The sequence below is a fragment of the Homo sapiens genome, chromosome 9, assembly GCF_000001405.40.
Source record: "Homo sapiens chromosome 9, GRCh38.p14 Primary Assembly".
Classification (NCBI taxonomy): Eukaryota; Metazoa; Chordata; class Mammalia; order Primates; family Hominidae; genus Homo; species Homo sapiens.
Window position 1 is genome coordinate 243202 of NC_000009.12, and position 27634 is coordinate 270835.

At 40.3% G+C, this 27634-nt stretch overlaps 1 protein-coding gene across 8 annotated transcripts in view; it reads left to right on the forward strand.

The window, feature by feature from the left end:
- The window catches only part of DOCK8 (dedicator of cytokinesis 8), a 253999-nt gene that overhangs the window by 31945 nt on the left and 194420 nt on the right, over nt 1-27634 (forward strand). Inside the window, exon 2 of one of the 8 annotated variants that reach the window (XM_047423932.1) lies at nt 16961-17056. The exons of the other annotated variants lie outside the window; for them this stretch is intronic. The gene's annotated coding sequence lies outside the window, so the exon portion shown is untranslated. The remainder of the gene's footprint in view (nt 1-16960; nt 17057-27634) is intronic. 8 annotated transcript variants of the gene reach the window in all.

Sequence of the window (27634 nt, forward strand, 5' to 3'; positions counted from 1 at the left end):
CAGGAGAGAATATTTGGATTGCCGGGAGGTGACCTTTATATGTTTCTTTACGTGTATAACAAATACATTTCAATTCGCGTCTAGCCCCTTAAAACCAGTGCATGTTTCTGACCCTGAGTGCTACTGACATTGTGAATCGCACTGCAAACAGAACACGGGTCACTGTTGTTTTCCTGATCTGGGAAGACATCATGGTGTGGTGAAAGGGACAGTGCGCTGCTGATCAGACTTGGGTTCTGTCTCTCCTCTGCTACCAGTGAAATGAATTTCAGATGCAAAGTGGAAAGATCAATTGTTTCTTGGCCTCTTTGCTGAGATCAAGGGAAGAAGAAAGATCAGATTAGTTCCGTGACAGTCCAATATTTACTGACTGACCCATGTTCTGTTTCATCTCAGGATTTCCAGGGGGCTCCAATTTGGACCACTGCAGCGGTCCCAACTGCCAACCTATGTTTTCCCTTCTTCCCTACCTTTCCCCTGCAGCCTCAAGTGGTTCCAGATAAAGTGTTATTCCATGTATCTCACTGTCTGAATCTAGAGGACTCTGATACCCAAATGTGTTTCTCAGAGTGTGTCAATGAAAGGGACTCTTTGACCCACAATCCCCCTTTTTCTTCACAACTCCATCATCGGCATCCTCAAAGACAATCCATGGTGCCTACTACTCCTCATCTTATTGACATGATTTTAATGTCAGCTCTCGCCGGGCGCGGTGGCTCATGCCTGTAATCCCAGCACTTTGGGAGGCCGAGGCGGGCAGATCACGAGGTCAGGAGATCGAGACCATCCTGGCTAACATGGTGAAACCCCGTCTCTACTAAAAATACAAAAAAAAATTTAGCCGGGCGTGGCGGCGACCGCTTGTAGTCCCAGCTACTCTGGAGGCTGAGGCAGGAGAATGGCGTGAACCCGGGAGGTGGAGCTTGCAGTGAGCAGAGATCGCGCCACTGCACTCCAGCCTGGGTGACAGAGCCAGACTCCGTCTGAAAAAAAAAAAAAAAAAAAAAATTTTAGCTCTCAAAGTTTTCCTCCATGTTCCATGAAAATACACTTTACAATCTAGTATTCCCCCCACCACACACACACACACACGCACACACATATATACTGAAACGAAACCATATCCAACTTCATTTCCATTTCCAATTCATTCAACATTTTCTATTCTGTTCTATTGCATTTAAAAAACGCTGGTCACAAGCCACTAAACTGATCTCAGATCAGACTTTAATAAATCAGACTCCCCCTTTTATACGCACAGAGCACTCTCTACTGTTTCTTCCTAGTACTTGTCACAATTTGTAAGTCCTAAATCATGTGATTGCCTACTTAATGTCTCCCGCAACCTGCCCCTGGTGTTCTGTAAACTTCAAGAGGATATGTTTTGCTCACCTTTGAATTTTTAGATCCCATACAACACCTATCATATCATAAATGTTTAATAAATATTTATTAAAAGAATTAATAAATGAATGTGGCCAAACCTATTCAGGTCTGCATGGTTCCTCCCTAGAGTTCCATCACACTTCACAGATCTAAAGTTTCCTCCCAGTTGTGGAGGTTTGAAGCTCAAAACTGCTGGAGGTGCTTCCCACCATAGCTCGTGAAGGCCCTATTGGTGTTTTCTTCCTAGTCCGTCTCTAGTTGATCATGACAGATGGGCCAGTGTGTTTTGAAGAAGACTGGCTGATGCCTCACCAAATTCTGGGGACAGGTGCCTTTCTCCAGGGGAATTCATGAAGAGACTCTCCAGGGGCAGGGCAGACCACTGGGAAAAACAAGACCCTTGGGTTTTCTGACCACTGGCCACTTGTTTTTCCCACATCAGGAGAGTTTATCATCTGTGCTCATCCACCTCCTGAGGTTGCTTTGCTGGTGCTGATTTCAGGTCCCAGGCCCCTAAGGTCTCACACTCACTCCACAAGCCACCTACACAGCTGTAGTTGTTTTCAGCCGACAGCTAGGTTATTTTGCCTTCCAAGATATTTTCTTTTATTTATTTATTCATTTATTTATTTTTTGAGATGAAGTCTCACACTGTCACCCAGGCTGGAGTGCAGTGGCACAATCTCAGCTCACTGCAACCTCCACCTCCTGAGTTCAAGTGATTCTCCTACCTCAGCCTCCCCAATAGCTAGGATTACAGGCAAGCACCACCATGCCTGGCTGATTTTTTTGTATTTTTTTGTACAGATGGTGTTTCACCATGTTGGCCAGGCTGGTCTCGAACTCCTGACCTCAGGTGATCTGCCCTCCTCAGCCTCCCAAAGTGCTGGGATTACATGCATGAGCCACCATGCCCGGCCAATAGTTTCTTTTTTGATAGGCAGCTCTTAAAGCCCTCAGAATACATCTCTAATGATGAAATCATCAGGCAACTTGACAAAGAGTGAAGAAATTGAAGGGTTCTCTCAATAGCATCCCAAGGAGGCTGACCCACACCCTACTGCCTACCATAGGCTGGCTTCATGTGCTCTAGTGCTGTGAATAAAGGAAAAAACTAACATGTTGAAGCATTTATTTAGTGCCAGGAGGCAGGTACTTTCTCAGATACCCTTTTTCTTCTCACATAATTCCAGGTCATTGGCAGAATAGAGATGCAAACCAAGAACTTGGGCAGCACCAAGATGTAGATGCTAAAACTTTAAACTTGCTGGACAAAATGATAGGGGACTTTGAAATAATTATTCAGACAATTTAGGCAAGCAAACAAAAGCAATTAAAAATTGGGCATCTGGCTGGGCATGGTGGCTCACACCTGTAACCCCAGCACTTTGGGAGGCCAAGGAGGGTGGATTGCCTGAGCTCAGGAGTTCTAGACCAACCTGGGCAACATGGTGAAACCTAGTCTCTACTAAAAATACAAAAAATTGGCCAGGCATAGTGGCGTACCTGTAGTTCCAGCTACTTGGGAGGCTAAGGTGGGAGGATTGCTTGAGCCTGGGAGATGGAGCTTGCAGTGACCTGAGACTGTGCCACTGCACTCCATCCTAGGTGACAGAGTGACACCCATCTCAGAAAAAAAAAATGGGCATCTGGCCAGGTGTGGTTGCTCATGCCTATAATCCCAACACTGGAAGGCCAAGTCTGGACAATTCTTTGAAGCCAGGAGTTTGAGACCAGCCTGGGCAACATAGCGTGACCCCATCTCTACAAAAAAATTAAAATTAAAATTAAAAACAGCCAGACATGGTTGTGAGCACCTGTAGTCCCACCTACTAGAGAGGCTAAGGCAGGAGGATCATCAAAACTGCAGTGAGCTAAGATCGCACCACTGCACTCCAGTCTGGGTGACAGAGTGAGACCCTGTCTCAGGAAAAAAGGAGGCATCCAAAAAAATGTTCCCTTAGATCCATTTTTTGTCTGACAGAGACAGGAGAGGTGATGAAAGGGAATGTAAGAGTATTTAAGGGATTATTTCTTTATGGTAGCAGAAGGACAAAGACATGTTTGAAAAATTTTTAATATTGTATAAAATGATGATATTTTCTTAGTGGTCTTGTTGTTGAATCCAGAGATTGTGGTCATGTAGTTCATAGGTAATTTATCAGTTATTATTTATTTTTTAAAGCTTTTATTTATTTATTTATTTATTTTAGAGATGAAGTCTTGCAATGTTGCCCAGGCTGGCCTAGAATTCCCGGGCTCAACTGATCCTCCTTTCTCAGCCTCCCTAGTAGCTGGGACTATAGGCACACACCACTGTGCCTGTCTAATTTGTCAACTTTTAAATGAGATCATCTGCAAGTTCAAGGAAGTTAGATAAAGGGTGATACCACAGAAAAAAAATGAGATTTTTCTCTTTAAGATGAATATTGAATTTAGAATTCCTTAATTAATATTGAGGATCACATGCGAGCTACAGATAGGGAATATTGAGTATTTAAAGCATTCTGAATGACCTGAGTGTTTTCCTTCTCATGCTTATTAAAAACATTTACCACTTACAGCTGAATTGGAATATAGTTCTACATAAATTGTTATTTACACCTGATACACAGAAAGAAATGTGTTTCCTTATTTATCATACTATTAATTTGAATGTGCTATTCTTTTTTTAATTGCTTTAAAGTCAATTGGGGAATCAGATTATGAATATCTATTTTACTGCTTCCACATTTCCTAAGTTAATCAAATACGACAAGTTAGTGAGCTTGTGGAATTTACTTGAATTTCCTAATCTTTTAACTGAGAGGGTATTTTCGACAGCAAATATTTTGTAGCATCCATTTGTCATTTTTTAAATATTCAAACTAGTTTTTTTTAAAATAATGCCAAGTACACTTAGTGCCTAGTAAATGCTGGCCACTGTTATTGCTGTTATCATTATTCTTTTTTGTTTGTTTGTTTGAGAGGGAGTCTCGCTCTGTCGCCCAGGCTGAAGTGCAGTGACGTGATCTCGGCTCACTGCAAGCTCCGCCTCCCGGGTTCACGCCCTTCTCCGGCCTCAGCCTCCCGAGTAGCTGGGAATACAGGCACCCACCACCACGCCCGGCTAATTTTTTGTATTTTTTTTTAGTAGAGACGGGGTTTCATCGTGTTAGCCAGGATGGTCTCAATCTCCTGACCTCGTGATCCACCCTCCTCGGCCTCCCAAAGTGCTGGGATTATGGCAGAGAAATGTTTGTTTCAAAAGTGTGTTAGTCTCTAAGGAAATGAATACTTCCAGACTAAATTCTGTTTATAGTATTATCATTAATAAATAAACTAAAACATTACTTCTGTTTCATTGCCCCAATGTATATTGTATTAAAATGTTCTTTTCTGATCTTCTCTAAGTTAAAAAAAAAAAAAAGAAACAAAGTTGAGTAAACAAGCTGAGCAAACTTTGTGTTGAAACTTTAATATGTCCGAGGAAAAGAATCTTGCATTAAGTCCAATACAGAGAGTCTGATAATTTGGTGGAGCAGAGAGCCTCATCTGAGGTGGCTTTCCGTGAACAGCATCTCTGAGGTGTCACCTGCTACCACATTCACTGTCCACCCTGGGCTTTGCCCCTCAAGCACCAGGGCTCAGGTCTCTTGTTTTGCCTGTTTCTCCCTATAGTCTCCCTGGCCTGTGCCTTTTAGACAAAACAGATTAACATCACCTTTAAGCCGTCAATACTGAACATTCTGTCTTTATAAGGCCTGACTCATTACCAATTTTATTTGGTCAATTTTACCTTCCTTGCTTTCAAAGGAACACCATTTGCCTATGTCAAGTGTTCTCTTTCTTTTATTTTTCCCTTCCTTCTGTCTTTCCCCTCCTTCCTTCCTTCCTTCCTCCCTCCCTCCTCTCTCCTCTCTTTCTTCCTTCCTTGCCTCCTTCCATCCTTCCCTCCCTCTCTCTCTTTCTTTCTTTCTTTCTCTCTCTCTCTCTTTCTTTCTTTCTCTCTCTCTGTCTTTCTTTCTCTCTTTCTTTCTTTCCATCTTCTTTTCTTTCTATCTTTCTTACTTTTGATGTAGCTGTCACGACCTAATGAAAATACTGGCATGAGTGATGCCACCTTTAGATTCTCCACCTTCCTGTTCCTGTCCTATTCACCAACATGAATTGGTTTGTGGCTGTAAGTACTTGGTGGGTTATTGCTCATAGATTCAGTTGCATTTTTGCTGAGATAGTGCTGTTACCAAAAGCAGGGGTGCTGCTTGAAGAAGTAAACCTAACTCTGAAAAATAGAGACTCTCCAGAAACATCATAATCTTAAGGATGGACATTTGTGGCCTGTTATTGTTACTTCATTCTAGGTGACAGAGTGAAGTGAGTGAGGGCAAAAATGACTGCACACTTATGGAAAGAGGGCTGCCTCCACCACAGACAGGTAGTGGGAGGTCCCACTCTTCCAGGTTGAACCCAATATCCTATCTTCTCCTTCCGCTCTTGGTACCTGTTGTTGCTATTGTAAACACTTCCCTCACCTGGGACTGCATATAGATGAAAGATTGCTGGGGGGTTTCCCAGGATCTTGGGCCAGTGCCAACAAATGGCAAACTTTCAAGTCTAGAGATGGTCCTATGGCATGACTGGGGGACACCACTTCCTTCACCAGAACATTCACATCCTTCCCAAGGTGCCACGCCCAGTTCTTTTGTCCAACAATAAACTCTGCGAAGTGGAGTGAAGTCACCACCCAAGCCTTAGCCTACCTCTGACCACAGCCTGTGACTCCACAAAGATAAATGAAAAGAGGAAAGTCAGTGATGTTTTCTATACTGTCAGCAGCAATCTCACAGCCTCAATACATTTTCTTTCAAAAGTTTAATATGTAATAACTGGCATTTCTTCTTCATTCCTAGTTGGTTAGACTGCATCACATCTGCCATGCCAAACTATTAAGAGTAATACAATTCTTACTCTTAGTTTATTAAGAGTAAAAACTATTACTCTTAATAGTTTAGCATGCTATTACTCTTTTCTTATTTTTTAATTTTTTTAATTTTTTATTTTTTGAGACGGAGTCTCGCCCTGTTGCCCAGGCTGGAGTGGTGCAGTGGCACAATCTTGGCTCACTGCAACCTCTGCCTCCCAGGTTCAAGCGATTCTCCTGCCTCAGCCTGCCAAGTAACTGGGATTACAGGTGCCCACCACCATGCCTGGCTAATTTTTTTTTTTTTTTGTATTTTTAGTGGGCAAGGGGTTTCACCATGTTGGTCAGGTTGGTCTCGAACTCCTGACCTCAAGCGACGCCCCCGCCTCGGCATCCCAAAGTGCTGGGATTACAGGCGTGAACTGCTGCACCTGGCTGACGTGCTATTACTCTTACAGCATCTGGACAATCCCTAACAGTCTGAAAGCTCTATAATGTTGCAGGTAGTCCAAAGGCCCTATCCCTTATTCTAGAACACAGGCTTTATAGCACAGGCTTTGGCAAGTCTGTAACAGTCTGAACTCCTCCACTGTATTCCACATACTAGGGATCTTTTAAGTTGTCATTATGTCCTGGCACAAGCATTTATCATATTTCTGGGAGCATGTAGGGTTCAAGATGCGAGGGCAAGAGAGGGCTGAGTTGTTTGTTATTAAGCTGACAGGAAATGGCCAAGGCTCATGTGCTACTGCTTGCAGTTGGGCAAAAGAGGATAAATTAATTGCTTTGTAGAAATTCCTTTCTGCATTCTTTAGGGAAAATTTTTCCATGTGAGCTAAATGAGTCAAAGGGGGTGGTTTTGGGCTCAACAGCTTTGACATTGTCCCTTCAAGGAATGAAACAATTAAAGAAACTGATCTCCTCTGAGAAAAAGACCATTTACAATAACCTATCTACTCTACATAAAATATTCCCAGTAGACTCATCAAAACAAGACCCTCTGATACCACACCATACTGGGTTTTTCCTTATTGGGATTCCCCCATGTTTTTTCTTTAATGCTTCCCCATGTTTTAGAAACAGATTTGCTTACCCGGAACCTTCCACACTCAATTCCAAATTTATCATAGTACTATCATTTGGGAGTAAACAACATGTAAGGGGCCTACACGGGTGGAAAGCCCATTCAAGAAACTGAGGATGATCAAATAGTAGAGTTGATAGTATGTGTATAATCCCAGGGAGGAGTTTCATGACGGATTAGAAGGTCAACACTGCCTGATGCAGCCGAAAGATCACATTAAAACAGGACAGGAAGGAAGTCCTGGCTGTCCAGCAAAAGGTCTTTAGTGGCTATATCAAGAGAAGCTTTTACAGAAGGGTGAGGGTGGTAGCCTGCGAACATTGGATTAGGAGTGAGAGGGACTGAAGGAAGTAGAAACTCGAGCTCAGGGGAAGGGGAGAGAATGAGCTTGAGGAAGGCCCTCTGATGAAGGGAAGGCTCTTTTCTGATGCCAGTGAGTTGAGCAGACTTATAGGAAGCAAAGAGGAGTCTAGGGACAGACAGGGATTGTCCAGGTAATGTAGGAAACATTTGACAAGGACAGATCTCGAATAAAAACATGAATGCAATTTCTGTTTCAGATGTCTCCTTTGCCTGCCCCATCCCACATTCTAGAAAAATATTTGGTGCATTAACAGATTTTGGACTTCACAGGGCTTCACTTTTATTGTGCTTAATATTTGTTCCTTGGTGAAACACAAAGAGACAAACTACACAAAAAGAGAATCATACTTGATGAAAAAAATCAATGTTTAGAAGTTGCTCTTAAATCTTTTACCCATTGCTAACATGGGTATTTGGATGCCATTTGGAACGTATTCCAGGACTACTTATCCATGAAAGGATTAATGATATTGGAGCCAGGTTCAAAGTCTCAGCAACAAGCTAAAACCTGCTCTTTTTAGTAGTCAGGGGCAAAGCTTAGTATCCTTTCTTCTGAAAGCTTTCGCATGCTAAGCTTTCCATTGCCAAGCCCCCGGGAAGGAAAATACCAGAAGTTTCACTCCGATAGCAGCTTTTTCTGAGATGCGCCTGGTGATAACATTTTCCAGTAGGGCTATCTTCTGTCTCCTTCCTTCTCTGTGTGTACCAGTAAAGCCTTGTACAAGTCTCTTAACCTTTCTTGGCTTCAGTTTCCAAATTTGTAAAGTGAAGATAATAATACCTCCCTCATAGAGTTGTTGTGAGGACTACATGGGCTAACGATCAGACAGAAAGCACTCATTAAGTGTGACTAGCATTGTTAATTGCAGTAATAGTAGTTCTAGTAGCAGGCTTTTCCAGGTTATAAGGATTAAAGATACGCTCATGTTACCTAAGTTAATGGTGCATTATTTTAAGGGTACACCAAAAAGTAAGAAGAATGGGAAACTACTTAACCAGCACATGGGGTGCAGAAGCGAGAGCAATTGTGTTTTCTTTTTTTTTTTTTTTTTTTGAGATGGAGTCTTGCTCTGTTGCCCAGGATGGAGTGCAGTGGTGAGATCTCGGCTCACTGCAACCTCTGCCACCTGGGTTCAAGTGATTCTCCTGCCTCAGCCTCCTGAGTAGCTGGGGCTACAGGCATATGCCACCATGCCCGGCTAATTTTTGTACTTTTAACATAGACGGGGGTCTCACCATGTTGGTCAGGTTGGTCTCGAACTCCTGACCTCATGATTCACTGGCCTCGGCCTCCCAAAGTGCTGGGATTACAAGCGTGAGCCACCGTGCCCAGCCCCAAGGGAATTCTTACAGCCTGACAGGTTTGGAACTCTGAGTCTCTCTGTGTGTCTGTGTCTCTGTCACTCCACCATATGTTTAGCAGGGTTAATTAATTTGCCCAAGATCACACAATTAGTAGATGATTATGCAAGATTTGAACCAGTTGTTATTCATTGGAATATGATTACTGTGTAAGTTAGCATGAGAATATTGAAAATAAATGTCTTGTTAGATTCATTTATTTTTTAAAAAATTCCTATGTAGGTCGGGCACAGTGGCTCACCCCTGTAATCCCAGCACTTTGGGAGGCCGAGGCGGGCAGATCACCTGAGGTCAGGAGTTCAAGAGCAGCCTGGCCAACATGGTGAAACCCCATCTCTACTAAAAATACAAAAAATTAGCCGGGCCTGGTGATGCATGCCTGTAGCCCCAGCTACTTGGTAGGCTGAGGCAGGAGAATTGCTTGAACCCGGGAGGTCGCAGTGAGCCGAGATCACACCACTGCACTCCAGCCTGGGCAACAGAGCAAGACTCCATCTCAAAAAAAAAAAAAGTCCTATGTATACTTCTTCACATCAATTTAGGCAGGCTTTATTTGTTAACTTTTGTTGGTAGCCAACATGCATTTAAACTACTTATTATTGTCCTAATCTAAGAAAAACTGAGAAATGGATGAAGTTGGTCCTAGGGTATCCCAAAGCACAGAGTGTTTTATTCTGTCCTTGGGACAGAGGTTTGATTCAAAATGTTTTTTCGGAAACTAGCCTTGAACACCTAATTTTATTAATATTCTTTTTACACTCCATCCCTCCTGGAAAAGGACTGGACCCCAATTCCCACCATTGCTTTTTTGGGACCCATTATCTTCCTTAGCTTCCTATGCATCTACAGGGTAGTCTGGGCTTCACTTCCTCAGTGTCCCTGTATGAAATTAGGTGGATATAGATTAGTCTGATGTAGGAATATCACACTGTACTAAGGTTTAGTTTGTATGTTATTCTCTCAAGTAACTGATCTTTCAATCGAACTAAACACTTCCTATGTGCTTTAAGGTGGTGGGAATTACAAGCATAGCAAGTTATGATTGGTCACGGATTTCTTTCCTCTTTAAATGGTGACCTACTGCCCATTGTACCTACTCAAAGCAACTTTCTTTAGGAAAAAAGACCACAGTCTACTTTCCTAAGCATAAACTCAGTTCTCATTCCACCTCTACCACCTGCAAGATTTGTTAGGCTTAAGCAGTCCCTTAACTTCTTTGAGTGTTTGTTGCCTTGCCTACTTCATTGGAAGTAAGGCTCTGGAACAGGGAAGGTTTGCCTCCATAAGACTAAAAGTTATGCTAATATAAGAGACTAGCAAAATGGGAGACATATTCAGCTCTCTTCTTGTGGGGAATACCTTGCCCTTGACCAAAAGCCTTGTCCCAGAAAGAGCCGTGTGGGTGTTGGCTTTGTGCCCAACATGTGGCTCCTCTGCCATGATTGATGGCTTCATTTAAGAAACAGGTTTTAGGATTTTTTCCCCTAAAATCTTATTCCTGTTAATTATCATGGATCAACTTTACCTTAGCTCGTTTAATACACAGTCACCTGGTATAAAAGCATGTGAAAACCCCCAGGGATCGTAACCACATTTATGCATTGAGAAAAGAGAGTGAGGCCAAGATTTTGAGATGTGTTCAAATGCAAGAAGCTTTTAAAATGCAAAGTATTCTAAAACTGTTGAAAGTTGAAGCTAACTGTTGTTCCCTTGTTGAAGGTAAAAAGTAAAGCATTTTTAGGAAAGCACTTTTCCTTATGTGTCTAATATTTGGGAACTGCATAGGAGAACAGTTTAATAGGAACCCTGATATTGACAGTAAGATATATTCTTAATGTAGTAACCAGACCCAGGGCAGAATTTGCAAACCCATGGTAGGCATACAGGTGGCTGAAGAAGAATCGGGACAGCAAGATCTCACTGAGATGCAATTCCATTCCTCCATTTGATACAGATTAAGATTTCTGAAAAAGACCATCCTCCTAAACCCTCATGGACTCTGCAGATAATATGAGGCCAGAAAATGAATAATTCCCAACTCTTGCTATCTCGTTACTGGCCAGTGTGTCTGGCTTCGCTGAGTGTGTGCCTTCTGAAGCGTACCCTATAATTATTCAGCAGGTATAGTCCAGTTCGTCCTACTTACTTTAGCAAGATTACCTTTCTTTTATTTTTCCTGTGAAAATCCTTCTCTTCCTTCTTTCCTCCTTTGTCTTTCCTCTTTGTTAACTTTTTAAATCTAAAGTGCCTTGAAAAACTTGTTTACATAGTAGTAAGAAGGAAAATGTTGACTTGTGCTATCCTGGGAACCTTGACCTTCCTGCATTATGGATAAATCATTTCCCTGCAGGTGGAAGTGGAAAATTGCAGATAGAACCACATTGACTCACATTCTCCTTCTACTTCCATTTGAGTGAGCACCAAGTATGCATCACGACTTGAGATTATAAAGTTGGCTTAATGATGAGACAGGTTTCTCAGTCGGGTTTTCCATTGGCTCGAAGTTCACAAGGCAGTTGTTGCTTGTCTCAGAGTGTCCTTAGGTGGACTACATCTGAACCCTTGGCGTTATTATAATGCAGATTCTAGCTGTGCTCAAACCAATGAATCAGAATCTCAGGAGGGTGGCGCTCAGAAATCTGCATGGTTGATCAGTTCTTTAGCAGATTCTTATTTTTGTATGCTAAAGTTTGAGGGTCACCACTGGAGAGATTCCAGAACAGGGCCTGCAAGGGAATTGTTCAAAGTTTGCTCAAGTTAACTTTGTTGTTACAGCATTAGCTTGAATATCAGGAGGTTTTGTATTTAAGTTCTCTAAAAAAAGAAAAAGAAAAAAAGAGAACAGTCTCAATATATAAAAGGAAAGGTTTTCATATATGTGCCCAATTATAAGTATCTTGAGTATTCTAGGAGTCTAAACAGAATGTCTTTAGATCATCCTTATAACGATCCTGAGACTCTTTTGACTGTTTTGAGTTGAAGACAGGTAATAAGAAAGAAATCACCAATTAATGCAGAAGGAAATAAATTTCTGTATATAATAATATTCACATTTGCCATGTCTCTTTTAAAAAGTCCAAATAACAGGCAGAGCGCGGTGGCTCATGCCTGTAATCCCAGCACTTTGGGAGGCCAAGGCGGGCAGATCACCTGAGGTCAGGAGTTTGAGATCAGCCTGGCCAACATGGTGAAACCCCATCTCTACTAAAAATACAAAAATTAGCCAGGCGTGGTGGCACTTGCCTGTTGTCCCAGCTACTCGAGAGGCTAAGGCAGTATTATCACTTGAACCCAGGAGGTGGAGGTTGCAGTGAGCCGAGATCGCGCCACTGCACTCCAGCCTGGGGGATAGAGCAAGACTCCATCTCCAAAAAAAAAAAAAAAAAAAAAAAAACAGCTCAAATAACTTTACCGTACATAACTTTACCATACATGTCCTCTAGTCTCTTATCATTTCTTCATATGAAGAATAATTTATACTCATTGATGTAAATTTTGCTATATTTTATACAACAAACATAGTATTATTTTAATATTGCACATAGAGAAAAATACCTCTTCCCCTCAAAATTAGAAGGGTTGGTATTTTTATTCAGGCTTATTGATTTAAAATACCTGCTTGATCCGTAATTCAGGCCATACGATTTCACCAAAACAAATATCCTAATAGTTGTCATCTTGAATAACTGTTTAGTGCACAGAATGTAGTCTCATTTATTAAGAAGTGATTTAAGAGATTATTACTTCTGCATCTATCACACTAACATGACCAACTCTTTAGTAAGGGAAGAGTAAGGGAACTTATTTTATATCTAGATAGAAATTTTATTAAGGATACAGTATTAGGATTCATAGGGGAAATAGTGGATAGATCACAAGAACGAGGCTCTTTCTGAGCCCTGCAGGAAAGAATATTTGCAGAACAATAAAGGACATGGTGGCTTCCTGGAGAATGTTGGCCGAAGACTGAGCCTTACTTCTGGAAAAGGCTCAGTGCTAGAGCCAAGTGAGCATCGATATGCCAATACAGGCAAGAAAATCCTGCAAGAGGCAGACTTGGTTCTTAGGTCGGAACAGGCTCTGCTTCAGAACTTGATCCGGTACCCAATTCGTTTCTGCTTCAGCTTCTTTTTCTATAAAATGAGGGTAGTACTTATCCCATGAGGGAGCTGTTATGAGGATAAATTTGGCTTTATTGAATGTGCATGATTCCTGGAACCCATAAAGATGTCAAATTTAGAAGCCTCAGAGAGATTTCCTTTGCTCTGTGAATAACTAAATTTGGTTAGCTGGGGTGGGGTCTGGGTACTTTTCCTTGTGAAGAATTTTTCCCTCATTCTGGTCATCTCCTCCCCTCCTATAGAGGCACCATATATTTTTCTTGTCTCAGGTACCTATAGTGATAAAACACCCTGAGCTGAAAGGATCGCTGGATAGGGCAGTCTCAATACAAAAGAATGTGGCAGAAGCTCAGGCTTCAGTGCACATCAGAATAGAAGCTTCATGAGGGCAGAGGCTTTTGTCTGCTTTCCTCATTGCAGTATCCCCAGAACTTTGAGCAAGTGCACACTCGATGAATACTTGAAAGAATAAATCAATGTCAGACATCTGGGCTTATGTCTCATCTTTCTACTGTTCTCAACTAAGAGATTCTCGTCATTCTACAACTTTCCTGAGCCTGCTCTCCTTCTCCAAATATTCACCCTTCCAGGCACTGACTCCACCTCCCACATCAGAGCTTTTTCTTAAAGTAAATAACAGTCAACAATTAATAGCTTCATAACTTTGGAACAGTGCAGTGTCTTTGGTTTAAGAAGCATTGTTTCCATCCTCCAAACTAAAATAAATTTTGAGAAAAGATGGAGATGGTTTGGGACTGGGGAAGAAGGGAATGGAAGAAGTGATTATTTGAGGGCACATTAACTATTTGTACAAAGTAGAATATCTTAGTTAAATTTGGCTACATAGCAAGCAGGTATCATTAAATGGATGTCTGTTAGAATCTTGATTTTCAAATTAACTAGATAGTCAGCGTTAGTTAGACTGAGGGAGGGTGATTACAGTCCTATGTCACTGAGGGAGAATGGTGAAAGGGCAAGAGAAGGCTGGCAGGTAGAGCTGGAATTTTTCTGCCAGCAATAGACCAGTGGTTCCCAAATGTAAGCCTGCAACAGAATCATCTGGAGGGCTTGTTTTTTGTTTGTTGTTGTTGTTTGTTTGTTTTTGGTTTTGTTTTTTTGAGACAGAGTCTCACTCTGTCGACAGGCTGGAGTGCAGTGGCGCGATCTCGGCTCACTGCACCCTCAGCCTTCCAGGTTCAAGCGATTCTCCTGCCTCAGCCTCCTGAGTAGCTGGGATTACAGGCATGTGCCACCAGCCCAGCTAATTTTTGTATTTTTCGTAGAGACGGGGTTTCACCATGTTGGCCAGGATGGTCTTGATCCCTTGACCTCATGATCTGCCCACCTCGGCCTCCTAAAGTTCTGGGATTACAGGCGTGAGCCACCGCGCCCAGCCAGGAGGGCTTGTGAAAACACAGATAGCTGGGCCCATCCCTAGAGTTTAGGATTCAGTAGGTCTGGCGGAGGCCTGATAGTCTGCATTTCTAGCTTGGCCAGGGGATGTTGATGTTGCTGGTCCCAGGACCACATTTTGAGAACCACTGCAATAGAGAGTGTGCATGAAAATACAACAACAATTACCTGATGGTCCTTAGCTTAGTTCAGTTGTCCCCCACAGGTTGAAGCAGTGTTCAAGGGCAAACAAAAACTTTCTCTCTCAGCCACCTCCATAAGTTCCATAGTTTATTTAACAAAGCAAACTCACAAAGAAGGAGGAAGTTAGGACTGCTCCATTTCCCCTTATAGCAAAGGCATGTGTATTTCACAACTGCAATCAGCTTGAATAGCAGAGGCTGGAAGGCTCTCCATGTCTTTACTGAAGTCACGTCACTAAGTCACACAGACATGCTGCTAATTCACTGCCTTGGCCAGCACATCTGAAAATAAATAGCACCATTATAGGCCCTTTCATGAATATACAGCATGTGGCCTCTAAATTGGCCAAGGAGCTGGCTATGCTGGGACAAATAACTTAGATAAATCACAAATCAGAGTGGAGAAATGAGGTGTTTTTAATCAACAGCATCCAACAATGTGTGTTGAGTTTAACTGAATCCAGGTAGAGGAGGGAGTGGGTGCAAGAGCTCAAAGTATGCTGAGAATAGTTTTATTTCAAAATTCCAGGAGACTTAGAAACAACATGGTAATGATGAAAGGAGCCTGAAGAGACTCTTTTTTTTTTTTTTTTTTTTTTTGAGATGGAGTCTTGCTCTGTTGCCCAGGCTGGGGTACAGTGTCACGATCTCGGCATACTGCAACCTCTGCCTCCCGGGTTCAAGCAATTCTCCTGCCTCAGCCTCCCGAGTATCTGGGATTACAGACATGTGCCACCATGCCCGGATAATTTTTGTATTTTTAGTAGAGATGGGGTTTCACCACGTTGGCCAGGCTGGTCTCGAACTCCTGACCTCAGGTGATCTGCCCGCCTTGGCCTCCCAAAGTGTTGGGATTACGGGCGTGAGCCACCATATCTGGCCCTGAAGAGACTCTTAAGATACTTTCATAATAGTTTAAAAAGCTGTATGTGTGTTTACAATTTCTGTCATAAATCTATGGTAACCACAGCACAAACATTTTAGAAAAAGAAAAAAAAAAACAACTCTCGGTTGAGTGTGGTGGTTCATGCCTATAATCCCAGCAATTTGGGAGGCTGAGGCAGGAGGATCACCTGCATCCAGGAATTTGAGACCAGCTTGGGCAACATAGCATGACCCATCTCGACATAAAATTAAAAATTAGGTATGGTGGTACATGCCTGTAGTCCTGGCTACTCTCAGGGGACTGAGGTAGGAGGATCTCGTAAGTCCTGGAGTTTGAGGCTGCAGTGAGCTGTGATCTCGCCACTGCACTCAGCCTGGGTGACAGAGCAAGACCCTGTCTCAAAAAAGAAAAAAAATTCTATTTTCCCACCTCTCTAACATAACTGTGAATAGTAGTATTTCCTTCTAGTTTTTAAGTACACTATTTAAAAACATGGAAGGTTTTCAAATAATGTACTTAGATTTAAATGCATTTTTAAGCTTATACCCATATAATAAGCATAGTAACTAACAGAATGTTCTTTGGAGTCAGATAGTCTTGGGTTCAAATCCTCCAGACATTTCCAGCCCTGAGTTTTGCATTTGTTAAATAGGGATGATAAACCTGGTTCATAGCATTGCTGTGTGGATTCACTGAGGTGCTCATCAAGTGCTCAGCACAGAGCCCTGTGTCATGTAAGCACTCAGTAAATAGTGGCATCATTTTCTGTTTTCACACACAAAAAATGAGTCGACCTTCTGCAATCCTAATAATCAGTAAGTTCTTCTTAATGGCCAGAAGTATACCTATTTTTAGTCTATGCATTTGGCAAAATTTCATTCCACAAATTGTTTGGTGGTCCCAGGAGCTGCTTTCAAGATCTTCTCTGACCAGCTTGTCGAGAGCTTTTGTTATCTGTGTTTTCCTCAAAGATTAGACTCATGAAAGATGTGTGAAAGCCAAAACAAAGGAATGACCACTGGTGCTCAGAGTGAGAGAGATTGGTTTAGTTGTTTAGCCAGGCTATGTGGCTTTGTTCCCAGACCACAGATTATAACCACACCATTGTGGGCACCACATATAGCCATTTTGGTAAACTAGATATGGGTTGCTAGGGACATGGGCAAGAAACCATGGGTGGGGAGGTGTGGACCTCTCAGCCCTGCCCTCTCAAGCCTGGCCAACTTCACATCTGCAACTGGGACTTTGTTTCTGTTCCAGACCTGTTTATCCAACTGCCAACTTGACAGCCACTTGGAGTCCTCATGAGAACCTCAAACTTAGTATGCCCAAATGAAATTTTCAGCTCACCAGAAGGTAACCATACTGTCTTGAGTCTTACAGTTACCCTGTAAACAAAGGGATTAACTTTACTAGATAGCAACTTCCTGCCCATAAAGTTAAGAAAAGAGCCCCTCAATGCAAATGTTGGTTTTGCTTATCAAATAAATGGATTCTTGGTTCTTCAGGATAGTTACAGATAACAATGGGCAGAATAGCCAGTAAATTCAGTAACTCCTTAAAATTGTTGAAAGTATTTTGTGCACTTTCTTTATATCGCTGCTTAGAGTGTTAATTGGTAAAATACTCTGAAGGACTAATACACAAACACTTTCACCCAGCAATTCCAATTCTAGGACTTTATTCCACAGATATATTTATACATGTATGAGTTCACATGTACAGTTTTCTGAATTTTTTTGTGCTGGCAGAAAACTAGAAACAACAGAAATGAATGAAAGAGACTAGTTAAGAAATTATTGCCCAGTTTTATAGTAGAATACATATGCAGCTGTAAAAAAAGAATGAGGGAATTATTATGTATTTATCTATTAAGTGAATAAAGCAAAATGAAGATCACCAGCAAACAGATAAAGAAATTGTGGTATTCATACAGTGGAATACTCCTCCATAATAAAAAGGAATGAACAATGGGTGAACACTACAACATAGACGACTCTCAAGTACTGTATTCCCATTTGTGTAAATAAAAATGTGGGAAAGAATGTATACATGTATTTGCTTATAAACTCTATATGCACAGAAGGAAACACAAGAAATTATTACCCCGGGAGGCAGAGCTTGTAGTGAGCGGAGATCGTGCCACTGCACTCCAGCCTGGGCGACAGAGCAAGACTCCGTCTCAAAAAAAAAAAAAAAAAGAAATTATTACCTAGATTGTCTATGCAGAGGGAACTGGGTACCTGGCAGACAGGAGTAGGAGGGAGACATTGTACAATATGCTTTTTTATACTTTTTATATTTAAAATTGCAAAATATCTTACATGCTCAAAATAAAAATAGAATAGCTTATATAACTATGTCTAAATATTACATGTAGTTTTCTTCTCTGGCTATTTTCTTTTTGGTTTTTATATAATTTTTTAAAATCCACTTACTTAGCCCAGGCACATAAATGGAAAGAAAGATATGCTTAAAATTATGTTATTTGCAAAAACAAATATTTAGATGTTTTAGAGCTAGTATGTTTTTGTTGGTTTCTAGTTTAGTTCTACATGGCATCAGACTAGCTACTCTATATGATTTCTGGACCTTTGCAATTTGTTAAGATTTGTTTTATGGTCGGGGATATGGTCAATATGTAAATGTTTAATGTGTGCAAGAAGAATGTGTACTCTGAAGTTAGGCATAGTGTTTTCTGTATATGTCAATTAGCACAAGTCTGTTTATCATGTTCAAGCTCTGTGTATCTCTGGGTTTTTTTAATCTGCATGATAGAACAGAAGTATGTTTGAAACTTTTATTGTAGTTGTGGATGTAATATTTTTCCTCTACTTTTGCAGTTCTTGCTTTATATATTTTGAGCCTATATTACTTGGTACATACATATTTAGAATTGTTGTGTCTTCCTGGTGGATTGCCCTTTGATTATTTAGGAAATGTCTCTCTCTTCGGTAATGCTTCTTAAAGTCCATTTTGTCTGATAGTACTATAGCTACCTCAGCTTTCTTTTGGCTAGGTTTCATAACTTTTTAAATTCTTTCACTGTCAGTCTTTTTATGTCCTTATATTTAAAATGTGTCAAAAGAAAGAAGGAGAAAGAAAGAAAGAAAGAAAGAAAGAAAGAAAGAAAGACACCGCGATTTACCTATGTTACAAACATGTATATGTAACCCTAAACCTAAAATAAAAGTTAAATATAAATAAATAAAGTGTCTCTTCATGAAAACTTTCTTAGCATCATTAGTCATTAGGGAAATGCAAATTAAAAACACAATGAGATACCACCACATACAACATGTCTAGTATAATGGCTAAAATGAAAAATACTAACAACACCAAGTATTGTTGAACATATGGAAAAACTGGAACACTGATTATGGGAGTATACAACCATGTTGTAAAACACTTTAACTGGTCATTTACCCAAGAGGAATGAAAGAATGTATCCATATAAAGATTTGAACACAAATGTTTACAGCAACTTTATTTGTAATAGGTAAAAACTGAAAACAACTCAAATGTCCATAGACAGATGAATGGATTTAAAAAAAACCATGTTATATCCATACAAAGGAATACTCCTCTATAATAAAAGGGAGTAAACTACTAATACACAGTGCAATATAGATGGATTGCAAAATGATTCTGTTGAATGGAAGAAGCCAGACCAAAAAAAGAGATATATTGTATGATTCTATTTATGTAAAATTCTCGAAAATGCAAAGGATCTACAGTGACAGAAAGCAAATTAGTAGTTACCAGGAGACGGAGGGTAAAAATTAAGAAGGGGCATGAAGAAACTTTTTTATTGTAGTAATGGTCTCATGGGTCTATACGTATGTCAAAGCTTATCTAATTGTATACTTTAAATATGTGCAGTTCATTGCCAGCTAATTATACTCAATCTGTTTTTAAAAGTAAAATGTGCTTCTTATAAGTAACAATTTTTTAAAATGTAGTCTGATGACCTTTGTCTTTTAATTAGAGAATTTAATCTGTTTACATTTAATAACTGATATAGGCAGGGCACGGTGGCTCCCGCCTGTAATCCCAGCACTTTGGGAGGCCGAGGCGGGTGGATCACCTGAGGTCAGGAGTTGAAGACCAGCCTAGCCAACGTGGTGAAACCCCGTCTTTACTAAGAATACAAAAATGAGCCGGGCGTGGTGGCAGGTGCCTGTAGTCTCAGCTACTCAGGAGGCTGAGGCTGGAGAATCGCTTAAACTGGGGAGGCAGAGGTTGCAGTGAGCTGGGATTGCACCACTGCACTTCAACCTGGGTGACAGAGGGAGATTCCATCTCAAAAGGAAAAAAAAAAAACCTGATATATTTGGGTATAAATGTTCAATCCTACTGTAGGTTTTTTTTTCCATTTTGCCCACTTGTTTCTTGTTGCTATAGTCATTACAACAATACATGTTTGACTTATTAGAATCCTAGTATTAATTAGTACTTTTACCATTTCCCAGATGATATAATATGGGCTTTAAAACACATGAAATCCGTTTACCCCTCAAACCTTTTGTGTATCATTGATGTTTTAATTCTATGTATATTTTAAACTTCACATTATTATCATTATTATATTTATATTGCACAGTCACTATCATTTAGATTTACTTATGTTTACCCTTTTGGTGTATTTCAATGCTTTCAGCACTTCTGTGTTTCCCTTTGGGATTGCTTTTCTTCTGCCTCAAAAACTCTCCTTACTATTTATTTTAGTATGGCTCTGCTGGTGATAAATTCTCTCCATTTTTGTTTATCTGGTAAAATATTTTTCCTTCATTACTTATGAAGAATATTTTCACTAGGTAGAAAATTCTAGATTGTTAGTTATTTTATTTCAGCACTTTGAAGATGTCATTGCATTGGTTTGTGGATTTCACTTTTTCAATTGAGAAGTTAATTTTGTTGGTTGCATTATTACACTTTGAAGATAATGTGTCTTTTCCCTGGATGTTTTAAAGATTTTTCTCTTTGACTTTCAGTAGTTCTACTATGATGTGTCTAGGTTTGATTTCCTCTGTATTGATTCTGATGGGCATTTATAGAACTTTATGAAGCTGCGTCTGGTATTTTTGCCAGCCAGTATTTCTTTAAATATTACTTCTGCTCCAGTTTCATCTCTCCTCCTCCTTTGGGATCCAGCTTACACAGGTTACATCTGTTACTTTATGACTCAACACACTTTTCTGGAAAGACTCTCTTTTCTTTAAACACAAGACACTAAATGGTTACAGGTGTTCTTTTAGGTGATTATGCTGCTTCATCAGCAGATGGTGATTATATCAAGAAGGAAACTTATATGATGACATATAAAAGCTGGGGAGAGGAGATGTCTCTGAAGACAGTGAGAAATCCTTCTCTAGTCTTGCTGCTGGAACCCTCAAACACTTAAGTCATCTAATAAACATTCTACTGTCTTCAGAGGAATTTTCTCAGTGAAAGGGATTTGGGACACCCCTGTGAGGAAGAAACATAAGTTCCATGCCTTCCAAATAAGGGGCAAACTTTTCTTTGTAGTCATGTTTCCACCTGTTGAATCCGTTTTATGGAAGTTGTACAGTTATGGCTTGTCTGTTTATGAGAAGAGATAGAGAATATGAGAAACGATAAAACCTGAAATAATCCATTGTGAGGCCACAGGCTGAAGAACTTACAAGGAATTTATTCTAGACTTTATGGCTGAAAATATGTATGCATATATGTATATGAGTGTATGGAGATACAGTTATGGATAGAGATCTATAGATATATGTGTAGATATATAGATACATAAAGTTTGCTACAGAAATTCATTTTGTACACTTTTAAAAGTGCACTTTACTAAAAGCATCCAAGAATGCATCTCAGAAAAAGCCTTAGATTTCTTTTATGTGGTCAACTCCAGGAACTACTCACTCTTGAGATAGATGTGTGTTTTCAGAGCTTATCCATGCCATGCACAATGATCTAACCCTTTGATAGCTGCATCATTCAAAGTCAGTTTTTCTACATGCAACAAATTTTTAAACCTTGATTTTTATTTATTTATTTATTTTGAGACAAAGTCTCGCTCTTGTCCCCCAGGCTGGAGTGCAATGGCGTGATCTCAGCTCACTGCAACCTCCACCTCCCAGGTTCAAGCGATTCTCCTGCCTCAACCTCCCGAGTAGCTGGGATTACATGCACCTGCCACCAAGCCAGGCTAATTTTTGTATTTTTAGTAGAGACGGGGTCTCACCATGTTGGCCAGGCTGGTCTTGAACTCCTGACCGCAGGTGATCCACCCGCCTTGGCCTCCCAAAGTGCTGGGATTACAGGCTTGAGCCACCGTGCCCGGCCTAAACCTTGATTTTTAAAAAAATACTACCCTGCCCTAACCTTGTAACTTAGGAAGTTTGGGGAGAGGGGTGTGTAACAACCTTTCACTGCTTATTTGATGTAAATCATTTCTAGTCCTGAAACAATGGCTATTTTGCAAGGTTTAATTATACTGTGTGTTGTGGTTGCATGCATAGGTACACCCACAAATGTCTGTCATTAATACGTATCACTAGCTTTGTACTTTACACTGTATTTTTGGAGTGTTTTACAGTCGTTCGTTACCAAGAGTAAATTATATATTTGCTTTTCTTTACCCCACCCCTTTCACTATTGTTTAAAACATGTCAGATTCAGGAAAACCTCAAGAGACCCAAACCTCTTTCAATACTTATAGACAAAGTTTTTTTTTCCTTAAATCAGTTTTAAAATCCATCCAGCCATTTTGGCTGCCGGCCATACCAGCAGATAATGAAAGAATTTTCCTTGAGGGTCAAAAGCCAGGGAGAAGCCTTCCAGGGCTGTTTGGTTTCCTAGCACAGCTGCTGGAGTAGCTCGTGGTGCTGATTGATCTGCTTGGAGATTCTTGTGCATCTTCACCTGTTAGAGCTGGAAAGATGCTCAGGACTATACAGCCCAGCCCTTCTGGTTTACATATAATGAAACTAAGGCCCACCTTAGTCAACTAATGTGCTTAAACTCAAGCAAATGGCAAATGGCAAAACTCAGGACTCTGTCAATGAGTTTTCATTCTTTTTCTTTATTCTTCTAGACACATATTTTATAAAGAAATGAGGCAGCATGATGTTTAAAATACTTAAAGTGAGAATGAGAAAAACTGATGTCTACATATCATGAAATGGTTAAAAAGTTTAACGTGCATTGTCTTCTCCATTAGAACTTCTTTTACGAATTTTTTTCTCAAAATCTGGCTCAGAAATCTTGTTTTAAAAGCTCCCTAAACATTCCTAGGCAGAATTAGTAACGCCTTCCTCTTTGCTAACAAGGAACTGTGCATATTCCTGTAATAGAATACTTACCATATTATATTGTAAGTATTAAATTATTCATCTGCCCTCCTCCCACCTACCCACTGGATCAGGCTTCCCAGGAACAGCAACAGAGAGCCCAGCAATTTGTGTGTTCTCAGTGTGGAATGAATGAATGAATGAATGAATGAATGAACCAACCATTCCTTCACAGTCTTGCACTATCAGTGAATCTTATGCTTTATTGAACATAAAAATCACCTGGAATTGCTGACTTAAAATACAGTTTTCCAGGCTATACCACAAGAGATGCTAATACAGGACTGGGGTAGGTCCAGGAATTCGAATTTTTATCTAAGTAGCTGATGACTTAATGCAAATGATCCAGCAGCCACACTTTGCAAGCTCTACGCTATGATTAGTTGTGGTTTGTAGTCCCAATTGTATATCATAATTATCTGCTGATCTGAAAAAAACATAGAGCTTCTCTACCCACTCCTTACCACCAGTCCATCACCACCATTCTGACTCCTTAGTCACAATGGGTATTGACATTTTAAATAAATCCCAAGGCTCCCTTCCGGGAGAATAAAGAGGATAATATTTATAAACTATTTTGAGTTCCTTAGAAGAAGGGTATCTTAGCTCATTAAGGAAATATTATCATGATATAAATCTAACATCATGAAACTTATCTTGGACATGTCAAATTTGGTCTAAGAATCAAATGTAGAGGAAAATAAAACCCACACACAGTACCTGCATGGAAACGGAACCTGTGCAAACACCTGCTTTGGCTATGTTCCTTTTTGTGGAGACAGATGTCCCCCTTCACTAGGACCAGGGTAGAGATGAAGAAGGTTGATTTGGACATTGGGGTGCTATATGTTCTTTTGGGACTGAAGTTCCATATTAGGAAACTTAATAGCTGACATTTACATAACTTTTAAACATCCCAAGTAGTACGCTCTGTCTGCACACTATTTTATATGTATGCAATTTGTTTGTTTTTGTTTTTGTTTTGAGACAGGGTCTCACTTTGTCACCCAAGCTGGAGTGCAGCAGGCATGAACACAGTTCACTGTAGCCTCAACCTCCCAGGCTCAAGCAATCCTCCCACCTCAGCCCCCTGAGTAGCTGGGACTACAGGCACACACCACCATACCTGGCTAATTTTTGTATTTTTTGTAGAGACTGGGTTTCACCATGTTGCCCAGGCTGGTCTCAAACTCCCGAGCTCAAGTGATCCACCTGCTTTGGCCTCCCAAAGTGCTGGGATTACAGGCATGAGCCACTGTGCCCAGCCATATGGATTTTTTTAAAATTATGAACTTACATAACTTCACAGGAGACAGACCTGAATGAGGTAGTTATTAAACTACTTTCTGACTATGGAAAGGATTTCTGATCCTTGTAGTATATTTCCACGTATATTGTTATACTGTTGTGTGTTTGTATTTAGTTGCTCATACTATTTTTTACTGTAGCTTACTTTATATGCAGGTTTCCATGGGTCAACCTAATTTATATTTTTGTCATTTTAAATGGAAAAATGATATCCCATATATTTTGTAGTATTATTTGTTCAGTGTTCTTTCCAATGTGGGATGCTTTGGTTATTTCTAATTATTTGCTATCATGCTATCATATACAGAATTCTTATGTTCATTTCTGCTCAAAATTATATTTTTGTTTGTATGAATTCCACGGTGTATATTTCCCAAAGCGAGATAGTTAGATAAAAGAGTAACAGCAGTTTCATAGTTCTGGTTGCATATTACAGTATTACTTTCCAGACACACAGAGCCAATATACAACCCCACCAGGGGTGTGAGGCATGCTGGTTTTCCCACAGCTTGACCAACATGAAATTTTATCATTCCAGCCTATTTCTGCTAGCTTAATATGTGTGTAGGGCCTCACTAGAGATATTTTATTTTGAAGTTCTTCAAATGATATGAAGCAATTCTTTTCCACGTGGAATGATTCACTATTTTCATTTTAAGGACAAACCATTCGTTTGTATTTGACAGTTTTGAAGTGACAGGTTTAATTGCCTTCTGTATAATTGATTCTGTAGGGAGAGAAAATAGGAGTGCTATTAGGTATTGGGTTAGGCTCAAAGAGTCAAGAAAGAAGATTAGTTGTGTAGTTCTGAATTTGGAAACTTGTATGTGGACGACTGGAACAGAAATACCAGTTGACCCTGTTTAAGAAGGGCTAGAGAGCAGGAACATTCTGATTTCATGATGACAAAAATACTAGAGTTTTGACATAGGACAACAGATCTTGCTTCAAAATGAAAGCAAGACCCTATCCTTCCTGCCTCTTTGATCCTCTCACAGTGCCACTTTCTTTCCTGAACATTTTCAGATATTCTTATTTCAGATAGACCACTCTGGTGTATAATAGGACCAGTTTTAGAGTGGCCATGAAGCTAAGACATGTTATTTGAGAGCTCTTAGGGGAAGACCTGGACACAGCAGTCGCAGGAGAAGTCAGTCTTATCTGTAAAAAGGTCAGCTTGATCACAGAAAAAGGCTTTGGCTTGGTTGTGTTGGCCCTCCATGGCTTATGATCCTCTTTCAAGTAAGCAAATAAATGATTGCAGTGTTGGTTTGAGTCCTGTGGTGCCAAACACAAGACACATTGTTGCTCATGCAATATAGACCTTTGTTTTGGACAGTGGTCTAATCTGCTGGTTTTTAAAACATTGGTGACTGTCCAACTTATAATTAAAATCAGTCTATCAAGCACTTGGAGACAAAATCTGAGGTTATTCTTTCATTCCTAGTTGTCACACTAATTTTTTGCCTTCACTTTTGTCTCTGTAGAATATTTACACGTACACCTATCTATATCTATTTAGATATAATTTATATACTACAAAATTCACCCATGTGTACAGTTCAGTGATTTTTAATGTATTCACAGTCATCACTACAATCAATTTCAGAACATTTTCATTACTCCAAACAGAAACCCCAAACTCATTAGCAGCCACTCTCCATTTCTCTACAATATCCCCAACCTTAGGTGACCACAAATCTACTTTCTGTCTGTATAGATTTTGCAATTCTGGGCATTTCATATAAAGAATCATAGAACATGTGGTCTTTTGGTTTAGCTTATTTCACTTAGGATAATGTTTCCAAGGTTCATTTATGTTGTGGTGTATATAGGTACTCTTTTCCTTTTTATTGCTGAGTAATTTTCCATTGTGTGGATATACAACTTTTTGTTAAGTCATTCATCAGTTGATGGACGTTTGGATTTTTTCCATTTTTTGGCCTTTATGAATAAGGCTGCTACGAACATTCATGTGTAAGTTTTTGTGGGGAAGTGTGGTTGTCTTTTTTTTTTTTTTTTTTTTTGCAACAGAGTCTTGCTCCGTCACCCAGGCTGGAGTGCAGTGGAGCAATCTCAGCTCACTGTGACCTCCGCCTCTCGGGTTCAAGCAATTGTCATGCCTCAGCCTCCCAAGTAGCTGGGATTACAGGCACACGCCACCACACCTGGCTAATTTTTTTGTATTTTTAGTAGAGATGGGGTTTCACCATGTTGGCCAGGCTGGTCATGAACTCCTGACCTCAAGTGATCTGCCCACTTCAGCCCCCCAAAATGCTGGGATTACAGGTGTGAGCCACCACACACTGCCAGAAGTATGTTTTCATTTCTCCTGGGTAAATACCTTTGAGTGGAATTGCTGGGATACATGGGAGCTCTGCTTAAATTTTTCAGGAACTGCCAGATGGCTTTCCAAAATGGCTGCACCATTTTATACTCCTACCAACAGCATATGCGTGCTCCAGTTTCTCCACATCCTTGCAAACACTTGTTATTGCCCCTCTTTCTTGTTATAGCCAGCCTAGTGGTTGTGAAATGGCAACTCATTGTGATTTGATCTGCATTTCCCATTTCCCTCACGGCTAGTAGAATACTTACTTCCTATCCTAGTTTTTCCTTATACTTTTAAAAAATTAAATAAAGAAAACGCTGTAGAAAATTAAGGAGCAAAATGTATGCTTGCAGCTACAGCTTCCTCTGGGGTTTCACACTTCCTTGCCTCATCATGTAACGGGCCACCACTAGGATGAAGGTGCTCCAGTCTTATTCTTCCAATCTTCTCTCCATTTGTCATTCAGAATCCTGGGAAAGAGAGACACTTGTCCTGCCGTGAGTTATGTGCCCACTCTTTTGATTTGTGTTTCTGCCTAGACAGTGCACAGCATGAGTGTTGGCATCTTGAAAGGAAACTGGGGTGCTCCTGAGGGAGAATAGATGCCAAAGTTGGGACAAGAGCCCAGTTTCCTGCCTTTCTAGGTGTAACTCATTGCCAAGGTCGGGAGCAAAGCAAACCATGTAGGAAACCTCATCATGCTGGGTAGTTAATAAGTATGCCCTAGCACACGTTTTCACAGAGAAAACATAATACGCTTCATTTGTAATATTTAAGTATTACATCTAAAGTTACAATGTTTAAAAATTTATATATACCCTTGTTGGATACAAAGCATGTTTAAAATATGTGACCTCATTTGATCCTCAGTAATCTCTGTTAGTTTCTAATTATATTCAGTAGTGGTATTGGTATTGTATGTTTTGGCCTCATTGTGGTTTAAATACACTTTTGTGA